Here is a 12,041-nt window from a genome sequence, read left to right as displayed (position 1 = left end):
TTTGTGAGCTGGCTGAGACAGGCGGGTGTTTGTGCACAAACACACCAAACGCACACCCGTCCTGTGCCGAGGCTGCGGCGCGAGGATCCACACACGCCAAACGCACACCTGTCCTCTGCTGAGGCCGCAGCGTGAGGATCCACACACGACAAACGCACACCCGTCCTGTGCCGAGGCCGTGGCGTGAGGATCCACACACACAACACACATTCGTCCTGTGCTGAGGCCACAGCACGAGGACTGAGTGCTATTCACACACAGTCACCAGGCACAGTGCTTTGGCCACGCCCACCACGAGGAGACTCAGGGACTGTGTGGGGGTGCATGCTTTAGAGTCGCTTCCAGAAGAAAAATCCACGTTAGCGAGTTCTCACATCTCCTGTGATTTTGGGAGCACTCATGGTGAGAGCGAGTTTTCATGTCTCAGGTGATTTTGGGAGCACTCCTGATGTTAGCGAGTTCTTACGTCTCACATGATTTTGGGAGCGCTCCTGGTGACAGCTGAGTTCTTACATCTCATGATTTTGGGAGCACTCCTGTTAGGGAGTTCTTACGTCTCACATGATTTTGGGAGCACTCCTGGTGACAGTGAGTTCTTATGTCTCGTGATTTTGGGAGCACTCCTGATGTCAGCGAGTTCTCAAGTCTCAAGTGATTTTGGGAGCACTCCTGATGACAGTGAGTTCTTACGTCTCACGTGATTTTGGGAGCACTCCTGATGTTAGTTCTCATGTCTCACGTGATTTTGGGAGCACTCCTGATGTGAGTTCTCATGTCTCACGTGATTTTGGGAGCACTCCTGATGTGAGTTCTCATGTCTCACGTGATTTTGGGAGCACTCCTGATGTGAGTTCTCATGTCTCACGTGATTTTGGGAGCACTCCTGATGTGAGTTCTCATGTCTCACGTGATTTTGGGAGCACTCCTGAGTTCTCATGTCTCGCGTGATTTTGGGAGCACTCCTGATGTGAGTTCTCATGTCTCACGTGATTTTGGGAGCACTCCTGATGTTAGTTCTCATGTCTCAAGTGATTTTGGGAGCACTCCTGATGTTAGCGAGTTCTCATGTCTGTGATTTTGGGAGCACTTCTCATGTTAGTGAGTTCTCAAGTCTCATGTGATTTTGGGAGCACTCCTGATGACAGCGAGTTCTTACGTCTGGTGATTTTGGGAGCACTCCTGATGTTAGTTCTTATGTCTCACGTGATTTTGGGAGCACTCCTGATGTCAGCAAGTTCTTACATCTCATGTGATTTGGGAGCACTCCTGATGTTAGCGAGTTCTCATGTCTATGTGATTTTGGGAGCACTCCTGATGTTAGTGAGTTCTTACATCTCATGGGATTTTGGGAGCATTCCTCATGTTAGTGAGTTCTCATGTCTCACCTGATTTGGGGAGCACTCCTAATGTGAGTTCTTACATCTCACGTGATTTTGGGAGCACTCCTGATGTTAGTGAGTTCTTACATCTCATGTGATCTTGGGAGCACTCCTGGTGATGGTGGCCCCACACCCGGCCTCTGTTCTTGAGGCATTTTATCAGGGTCATCATATTTCTTGGCTTCCACGTATATTAAATGCAGAATTTAAAAATGGTTAAGATAAAATTACAACGTTAATTTTCATGGCTTTCAGGTTTCTTCAAAGCCGTTGCAGGTGAACGCTTACTGACGCCATGCCTCGCTCTGCTTAGGCATGTTCTGGACGTGGAGGTCAGAAGCATGTGCTACACGGGGACGGGTTTTCCTTGAAAGCAGTGACATCAAGTGAGTGGTCTCCTAGCTGTAGAAGCCTCCGTGGTTTAAACCCGAGAAGAAATCCAGATGCCTACTGGGTCTCAAGGAACTGGGCACACATTCCCACAGCACTGACCAGGCGCGAGTTCCCAAAGCTGCTCCTCACATGAGGGGCGGGGAAGCCCTTGTCAGTGTGGGTGGGAGCAGCATCCCCCACGGCAGGTGCTACTCTTGGGTCAGCAACTTTGCCTCTCCTCTGTCGACGTGGAGACCCTTCCTCTACCACTGGAGCAGCCAATGCCCACCTAACACACTGACGCGCCGGAAATGGCCAGAGATCTCGACACCCCTCACTCAAAGGCCCCCTGACGGGCTGCACTTGACCCTGGTTCCAGATCCTCTTGACTCCCCATCGTCTGTGCCCCAAAACGAGCAGCAGCCCCACCCCATGTGTCCCCAGGATGAAGAGGGGCCACGGCAGCCTCCAGGGAGCACCCGGGGGCAGGTACCTAGTCCGTCTCACAGGCCCACGGGGGGGTGCAGGCAATGGGCCCGAGAGACAGGCTTATCTGGGGTGAAGCTGCCTCATCTGCCCCAAGCACATGGAGTGGAAGAGGGACACATGTGAGACGAGGCTGTCAGGCCAGGGCCAGGCCACGAGGAGCTTCCTGAGGCTGCTGTAATAACCAGGCGCCACGGCTCAAAAGATCCAAATTCACAACCTCACAGCTGTGCAGGTCAGAAGTCCAACATGAGCCTCACAGGACCAAAATCCAGGTGTCCACTGGGAGAATCCCTTCCTCACATCTTCCAGCTTCCAGAGGCCTCGGGTCCTTGGCGCCGGGGCTCCTCTGACCCCTTCTCCTGCCTGCAGGCGCTGATTGTCTTAAGGGCCCAGGACTCACAGAGAATCAAGGAGGCTTTAAAAATTCACGAACATAAAACCCTCTGGCCTCTCTCCCATGCACAGAACAATCCACGGCTGCAGCCTTCTGCTTTCAATACCATTTGTTCCCAAAGAGCTACATCTGGGGGGTTACGATTACTTTTTATTTCTGAGAGAAAGGATTAGGTTTTGGGGTGGCTGAAAGCTGCTGAGTGCGTTCAAGACATCTGTCTCCCATTGAGAATTCAACCATTAAGAACCAGTTGTCACCACTGCCTGAAACAGGACTGCGTGGGGAACAGACCCCGAGTCCTCCACGCCCGACCAGGAAACCAGGAGGGAGACGGGACGTGTCAGCAGCTTCCAGGCAGGAAGAGGCAGCGTCCCTCCCTCCTCTCCTCCCACCCCTGGTCCTAGGCAGGTGACTGTTCCTTATACAGAACCTTCTGGAATCTTAAATAAAGTGGTCTGGGCTTACAGGTAGTGGCTGAGAAAAATTTTTTTTAGAGAAAACATTTTTGTGAAACAAAAAACAGCTAATGTTCAAAAAGACAGAAAAATGGCAGAGAAATTCAGCACACCTCAAAAAAGGGTCTGATCCTCACAAGATAAACTGGCGTCTAAAGGTGATGACCTGAGTTACTGAGACGAGTCTGTCCTGAATAGAACTATCTGCATTTTTCTGCTACTGTTGAAGATACACAGGAGCTGTTTTCCTCCTCAAGAACCTCTGCTGCCTTCTGGATGCAAACAGAATGGTGGCTCTCTCCAGAGGACAGCGGTGCCAGGCGGGCAGGGAGGATAGGCTCTGGTGGGAACATGAAGACCTGAGGGAAGGGGACGGCCTGTGCCCTGACCAGCTGCAGGTGAGCACCCCACACAGGCGCCACCCATGAGGGCACCTTACAGGAGGACATGGGATGTGGTTTTCCAGGACAGTCCTCCTAAAGAACAGTCTCCGAAGGACGGTGCTGCGCAGATCGCCCATCCCTAACATCCGGACTGTTGTGGAACCTTCTATCAGGGGGCGGCCTGGGACCCAAGAGGAGAAGCACACGGGCCAAGGGGCCCAGGACACAGGGGCCAAGCAGGACCCGGCTGAGAAAACCCCAGCTCCACCGATGCTGCCTAAAGTTGTTTCGCGCTGTGATAACGAGATGCTGTGAGAATCACCAGTCACTCTGTGTGCGTGTGTTTAAGGCCCACGTGCAACACACAGCCCTCCAGCGTTTCTCAATGGGGGCCGGTCGGCGTCAGGCAGGGGGTGTTGACCGGCCCCAGGGTCACCCCTTGTCATGACCATGAGTGCCTCCAGACCCCGTCCCATGTCCTTGGGGTGAGCCGGGAGAGCCGGAGGGGCTGGGCGGCATCGGTCCTGGTGAAGACGCAGGCACGAATCCTAAGCCACAACTTCCACGTGTTCTCATGCCACACACTGCGGACACATTGCTTAATGCTGTTCTAGGTCTCCTTGAATAGGAAGTTGCGTGAAAAACACAAGTGCTCGTCCCAAACCAGACACAACTACACAAGTGCAGGACTCTAGCTCGGCCTCCAGGTGCACAGCTCAGCAATCCGCCCGCACACCAGAGCTCTGCGGCCCCAGCACGAGCGCTGGCGCGGGCACCGGGGCGTGGGGTTGGCTCACCTCTTTGTCCATACTCTCTAAATCCTCCTTACAAAGAGTGTACAGCGGCATTGTCTCAGACATACTGGGCTGTCGCTTTCTTCTAGAAGGGCCAGGCTGCTCTCCGTCCTGAGCGTCAGGCAGCTCTTCACCAAACATCTGCGGCTGGGGTGGCGGAACCGCTCTGAAAGGAATTTCATAGGTCCCACATGAGGAAGGTCAGTTCGAATGGCACTTTTCCGCACCGAATCAGACTCCTGGCTCTCGGACTAGGTAAACACTCACACACCCCAACAGGGAACACGTATGAAAAACGTGATGTTTCGCCAATACACTTTTCAGAGGTTAATGGATCAGAATTTGCTAACTGAGCCAGGGTGACTGGCAAAACACGTTTCTGACTATCCTGTGGAAAAATAACACCCATCTTCTTTTATCCACAAAACCCCCGTGGGGCAGAGAGCATCTGCCAGGCTCTGGCATCTTAGAATAAAGGGCAAAGAGAGACGGGAGATGAAGCGTGTTCTGGGAACCCCCAGGACATGTCATTCACCCTCAAAATAGGGTCCGGAGAGCTACACGGCAAAACACAAAACAAGAAAATGCAACATCTCCAGGCTACGAAAACAGACACAAAAAACGGCCAAGTGACAAAACAGACGTCAGTGGGCTGAAATTAAAATCATTTCACAGGTCAGCACGGTGGCTCATGCTTGTAAAGCCAGCACTTTGGGAGGCCGAGGCAGGTGGATCACTTCAGGTGAGGAGTTCGAGACCAGCCTGGCCAACATGGCTAAACCCCATCTCTACTAAAAATACAAAAATTAGCCCGGTGTGGTGGTGCACGCCTGTAATCCCAGCTACTCAGGAGGCTGAGGCAGGAGAATCGCTTGAACCTGGGAGGCAGAGGTTGCAGTGAGCCGAGATTGCGCCACTGCACTCCAGCCTGGGCAACAGAGCAAGACTCCACCTTAAAAAAAAAATTCACGAAAAAACAGAAAAAGGTAAATCTTGTGCTTGTATAGTTAAATATTAATGTAATAAATCAACTAGAAAGGGCCAATCTTCTGTTTCAAGGATCTTTCTGCTATGTTCAAACCGCAGCTCCGTTTGAAATAGTTTCTCTCCTCTGTACACATCTTTCTCGATCTGGATATGTCAATCTTATTAATATATTCTGATGCATGCCTCTGACTGCTGGAATTTAAGGCAAGCCTCTGGGAAAGGGGTGGTGCGGCCCTCCTGAGAGGCGGCTGTTTCTAGCTGCTGGTTCTTCCCTGGATGACCAAAGGATGAGACCAGGAGGCACTAAGCGTGCGTCCCAGATACCAACTCGCTCGGGACAGGCACGAGGATGAAGGTGATAAAACCCATCCTGGTGAAGGAAAACGGGCACTAAGTCAAAGTCACAAAACTAAAAAGACACAACCATGTTAGGCTATTTACTAATGGAGAGAAGATTTTCTGCCCAGAAATCTGAAAGTGCTGATCTGCGCTGTTTGGAATTCAGGACTTCCCAAGCCTTGTCAAAGTCCACTCTTCACGGCGGCCCTCTGTGAACACGCGCTTCCCATCCCACGAACGCCGCAAACGCCACGCTTCCCACCCCGCGAAAGCCGCGCTTCCCATCCCACGAACACCGTGAATGCCAGGCTTCCCACCCCACGAACGCTGCGCTTCCCATCCCGTGAACACCGTGAACGCTGCGCTTTCCATCCCGTGAACGCCACGCTTCCCATCCCGCGAACACCGCGAACGCTGTGCTTCCCACCTGCATTTGGCTGAAACACCCATGTACGTACAACTGGACACACGCAGTCCAAAGCAGTGTTGTTCAAAGGGCCAACTGCACTGTTATTTTAAACTGAATTAAATGTTTCAACTAAATGTTAAAAACCTATGATAACTGCTCTACTCCCGCCAAACACCCCACCTCTGGGGTCTCAGAGAAGGCCATGGAGGAGCCTGACATCCAACCCCACCGGCAGCAATGAGGCCCCACACACCCACGCGGGAAGGTCAGGATTCTCACCAGCCCCCACAGCCGTCCACCAGCAAGGGCGTCACCCCCATACCCCACAGCTGTCCACCAGCAACGGCGTCACCCCACCCCCACAGCAGTCCACCAGCAACGGCATCAACCCCATACCCCACAGACGTCCACCAGCAACGGCGTCATCCCACCCCGACAGCCATCCACCAGCAACGGCGTCACCCCACCCCCACAGCAGTCCACCAGCAATGGCGTCACCCCCATCCCCCACAGCCGTCCACCAGCAACAGCGTCACCCCCTTCCCCCACAGCCGTCCACCAGCAATGGTGTCACCCCCATCCCCCACAGCCGTCCACCAGCAATGGCCTCGTCACCTCCATCCCCCACTCTCAGGCATCAAAAAGAGGCCGTGTGGGGAACTGGACTCCTATCCCAAATGGCAGGAACAAGGGGGCCTCCACTCCTGCTGCTGGAGCATGGCCCAAAAAAAAAAAATCAGTGATGGGAGAAGGTTTAAATAAGATCCAGAGTCTCCTAACATGATGTGACAGGTCCAGGTTTCAATCCAGTATCACTTGCCACAGCAAGAACCAGGAAGATCTCAAACTATGGAGAAAAGGACAATCAACAAGGGCCAAGCTGAGAGGGCAGAGATGCTAAAATTCACAATGATTTTATAGCATCCATGATAAAAATGCTTCAAGAGGCAATTGCAAGTATGCTTGAAACAACTGAAAAACACAGAAAGGATTGGCAAAGAAATAGAAGATACAGACATTTTATAAACAGAAAATAAAAACTAAAACCAAAAAATGTCCTGGACAGACTAGCAACAAATGAAGGAGACAGAGGAAGGCTGTGAACCCGAAAATCTAACAGAAGTCACCCAACCTGGACAACAGAGAAAACGAGCTGAACAGGAAAAAGAACACAGCTTAGAGATGCACGAGATACAAAAAGCCTCAGCATCCGTGTCCCTGCTGTCCCAGCATGGCAGAGATGGCCCTGAAAAGCAATGGCTGGAAATGTCCCAAAGACGTCAAAAGACATAAACCTTCCAACTCAAAAAGCAGAGTCAAACATAAACAAGGTAAACCCTCCAAATCTACACCAGGACACCTCGTCATCAAACCTCAGCTAAAGACAGAGAAAAACGTGGAAGGCAGTGAAAGAGAAAACACAGCTTACCTACAGGAAAAACGGTCAAAGACAGAAGATCACTCATCAGAACCACGGAGCCCAGAAGGAAGCCGGATGTTTTTCAGGCCCCGAGAAAAAGGAAGATCAACCCAGAGTCTTGTCCTGTGAAAACGTCCCCCAGCAAGGGAGGGACTGGAGAGGGCCCAGGCCTGCCCCGAGAGCATGATGGACACTCCAGGTCAGGTCGGGAGGGAAGGGACCCCGAGGGAACCTCCCGTGAGGACGGAAGCAGGAATCCGGGCAAGCACCGGAGACTCCGCTCGAGTTCTCTAGACCACACTTGACTGTCAAAACAAAAGTCATAAGAAATAATCCCAAAGCAAGCAGAAGGAAAGTACGAAATAAGGAGGCTGAAAAACAAACAAAAAAAAAATAGAGAAGGTAAGCGGAGCAATTCCTTCAAAAACACAACCACAACTCACCCAAACGCAGCAGGTCCTGTGAAAAGCCCTGTAACTGTTAAGGAAAATGAATATGAAATTTTAAACCTTGCAAAAATAAAATCTCCAGGACCAGACGGTCTCACTGGAGAATTCTCCCGAATATGTGAAAGGAAGGGGCAAGTCCGCAGTCTCACCAGTGATGCTGGAGGGTGGGGCGCTTCCCACCTCATCACGGGAGCCACAGCAAACCTGGGGGCAGACGGCACACAACGTGACAAGTGCAGCCCCACAGGCCCCTCAACGTCAACATAAAGACACTTCACAGAAGCGCATCAAGGTTACTATACACCACAACCAACGGGAATTGTTTCTGGGGTGCAAGGTTGTTTTCATGTCCAAAAATCAGTCAATGTGACCACCACATACTGACAGGCAAAAGAAGAAAAACCACACACACCATCATATCAATCAACAAACTCCTAAAAAATTCAACACCCACTGGTGATAACAACACACAGAAAACAGGAAATCCAACTTGATCAAGGGCATCTACGGGCAGAAAACCCAGAAACAGACCACACAGGTGCACCTGAGTGCCCTCGAGACGCTGCGGCAGAAGCAGCCATGGAGGGAGGACGGCGCCGGCGACAATGCGGCTGGGGCCAGAAAACCACCCTCAAGAGCATCTGGGGCTGAGGTGTCGCATGAAAGACTATAGAACTTTTAGGATAAAACATCAAGAAAATCTCTGGGATCTGGGACTGGGCTACTAGTTAACTTCACAGCAAAAGCACGATTCCTAAAAGAAAGAAGTGATAAATAGAATCTCGTGAAAATTAATAACTTTTGCTCTGCCAAAGACCCTCTAGAGGATGAAAACTCAAGTTGCTGACTGGGAGGAAAGGATTTGTAAGCCACACATCCAACCAAGGACTAGCAGATGGAACAAACACAGGAGTGATGGGTAATTATTCACCACGGAAATGCAGGTTACAGCCACAACCAGCTCAGGACACACCTATCAGAATGGCTGCAATAAACAGCACTGGCCACGCCACCTGGGTCACTCACCGCTGCTGAAAACATGAAATGATGATGCAGGTATTCCAGAAAAAGGTCTGGCAGTTTCTTTAAAAAGCTAAACACACACTCACCATCCAATTTAGCAACTGTATCTACCACTGGACATTTATCCCAAAGAAATAAAAACTTAGATAGGTTAAGCATCCCATATCCAACATGCTTGAGACCAAAAGTGTTTCCGATTTTGGATTTTTGAATTTTGAAATATCTGTGTTACACTTACGGGCTGAGCATCTGCAACCGGTGACCCCAAATCCGAATGCTCTGATGAGCACTTCCTTCCAGGGCCACGTCAGTGCTCAGAAAGGTGCGAATCTTCGTGCTCAGAAAGATGCGAACCTTGGAGCATTCCCAATTTTGGATTTTCGGATGAGAGGCTCAACCTGTGCAAACATTTAGAGCAAAGGCTGGAAACAACCCAAATATCCCTCAAAGGGTGAACGGTGAAACCACAGTTGGCTCCACCACACACCATGAGACCCGGCTCCGCAAGAGAAGGACATGAATGAGGGGCACGGAGGTGCTCCAGGAACTGGCTGAGGGAGGAGGGCCAACTCCAGAAGGTTGCCGACTTGCCGTACACAGCACTCCGGAGAGGGCGCGGTGCAGGGAGGGACAGCAGGTGGAGGGCCAAGGGTCAGGGAAGGGGAAGCGGCTGAGGCCATGAAGGGCCGCAGGGGAGCTGGTGTGAGGGTTCTGTGTCTGGATGAGTCTGTGTGGGTCCTAGTGGTGAGCCTGTTCCCCACTTTCACAAGAGGCAACCACAGGGGAAACAGGATAAAGGGTCCAAAGGGCCTCTCTGCATTATCACTGCATATATATCTACAAATATCTCAAAAAGTCTAACCAAAAAACTGAATGTTCCCACTCACCCCCAGGTCCCCAGTGAGCCAGCCTGCCAGCCCAGCACCAAAAAGGTCAAAGCCAGAATTAGAAAAAACGTACAACGTTCAAAGACTTAGATGAGGACCAGTCCAGGGACGAAGGGCCAACTGCCCTCACTGCCAAGCGTCCTGTCACAATGGGGTCTGCACGGGGTTCCGAGAACAGAATGAGGAACCACCACTCTCAGGAGGGTGGGGAGACGGGGCCACCTCCACAGCAGCACAACCAATGCACACAACATATGAGGCCTGGGGCCACTCAGGCACGGGACCCACTGTGAGACGGGATGCCATGGGGGAATCGGGCAACCAATGCCCGTGACAGATGAGGCCTGGGGCTGCTCAGGTGTGGGACCCTCCGTGAGACAGGAGTGCCATGGGGGAACTGGGCTGCAGGGCACCAGTGCTGTTGCAAGCGTGTGAGGGTGGCTGCAGGAGACCACGCTGGACCCGTTTATACAGGTGGAGTGGTCCTGCAGGCACTAGGGGTCCACACGTGGAGTGGCATTGCGGACACAGGTCTATTTAGTGCAGGGAACTGGGCAGGCGCCACATGAACTCAGACAAGCAGGGGGGACTCTTGGATTAAACCAGAAGAAAACACTCTACTGTTCCTCCAAGATGGAGGCCTACGGAGAAAAGGGAGGGTGGGACCAGAGGCGTGGCCAATCCACACAGGCCCAGGTCCTCACCGCAGCACGAAGGCCCCGCAGAACTCCTGCCGGCTGGTCCCGTTTCCTCAGACTTCCAGCACTATGTCTAGCCTGGGGAGGGAGACATTCAAACAGGGATTCCTTTTTTCTGATGTAAGTAGGTCGTTTCATCAATTTTGAAAACTATCAAAAAGCAGAACCCAGGCTCATTTTAGGAGAACTCAGTTTCCAACACGTACAAGTGAAGGGAGAGACATTTCCTTAACGTGACAAAGATGCATCCAGCCTGCAATCACCCAGACCAGGGGGCCCGCTGCTGCAGCCACAACAACGCTGCTTCCCGCCACCAAACTGACGATTATCGCAACCTAACAAATCACATTAACATCCTTTCGTATAAATGAGCTGGTATTAACTGAAGTAATATTGATATTTTGGTGCAAATTACACTTTCACATTAAAAACAGAAGAAAATTTCATCAAAAGTCGACTTATTCAAATGAACTACAGCCCAGCGTGCATCTTCCTCACGGAAGGCACAGCTAAACAGTTGTTTATGACGTGCCATTCGAAACTGAACTGCTGCTGTTCACGTAAATTATACACATTTCAGAACACACATACACAGTTATCGGCTGCCATGTTATTAGTGTCATTCAAGTAAAAGTGTTTGACTTCATTCAAATCCAGCTTACCATCTGCAAGTCTGTTTTCAGATAACAATTATTTTTTTCTCATTGATCTTAGAAATTCCTAGCTCACTTCAAGCAAGGCTGAATTATTAAAACACCAGTTTTGTATCTAATCTTTAACCACTTTATGTAGTTTAAGACAATGAGGACAGGAGCTTGAGACCAACCTCAGCAACATGATGAAACCCCATCTCTGCTAAAAATACACAGATTAGCCAGGCGTGGTGGCACGTGCCTGTAATTCCAGCTGCTCAAGAGGCTGAGGCATGAGAATTGCTTGAACCTGGGAGGCGGAGGTTGCAGTGAGCCAAGATTGCACCACTGCACTCCAGCCTGGACGATGGAGCAAGATTCCGTCTCAAAAAAAAAAAAATAAATAAAAATACTGAAGAAAAAATAAGTCAAAGGTTTGTGATTTTATTTTAAATTATTAAGAAAAATTTTTTTTTGAGACAGGCTCTCACCCTGTGGCCCAGGATGAAGCGCAGGGGTGCGATCACAGCTCACTGCAGCCTTGAACTCCTGAGCTCGAGAGATCCTTGCGGGTCCACCTCCCAAAGCACTGGGACTACAGTGCGAGCCACCCCCCTGGATATTTTATTCAACAGTATGAAAAGCAGCGTCTAAAGAACAGGTGCTGTTCGCAGTACTGATCGTGTGGCTGCTTTAAATTATCACATAATTTCGAAACCAAATCTCAGCAGTATCACTTCAGTGCACGTATCTGTCCTGCCATCGTGCTTCTACTGATTAGAATGACAGTACAGAACAGACCCTGACTTCCTAGACGGGGGGTCTCCACATCCTTCTGCTCTAGGTGGTGCTGGCCCGTTCACTGACTGGCCCACAGCAATCCCATAGGCCAGGTTCCGCCCTGCTGTTCTCAGAAGTGTCCAGGAGCTTT

At 50.9% G+C, this 12,041-nt stretch overlaps 1 protein-coding gene across 13 annotated transcripts in view; it reads right to left on the bottom strand.

Moving 5' to 3' along the window:
- The window catches only part of CTDP1 (CTD phosphatase subunit 1), a 79,858-nt gene that overhangs the window by 23,287 nt on the left and 44,530 nt on the right, over positions 1-12,041 (bottom strand). For 9 of the 13 annotated variants that reach the window (XM_047437924.1, XM_047437922.1, NM_001318511.2 and 6 more), the window contains one exon: positions 4,270-4,432. The exons of the other annotated variants lie outside the window; for them this stretch is intronic. In XM_047437924.1, coding sequence (XP_047293880.1) covers positions 4,270-4,432 — 163 coding nt within the window. The remainder of the gene's footprint in view (positions 1-4,269; positions 4,433-12,041) is intronic. 13 annotated transcript variants of the gene reach the window in all.

This window comes from Homo sapiens, chromosome 18 (genome assembly GCF_000001405.40).
Source record: "Homo sapiens chromosome 18, GRCh38.p14 Primary Assembly".
NCBI classification, from domain to species: Eukaryota; Metazoa; Chordata; class Mammalia; order Primates; family Hominidae; genus Homo; species Homo sapiens.
Note: the sequence above shows the minus strand (reverse complement) of the source record. Positions and strands in the feature narration are given on the sequence as shown.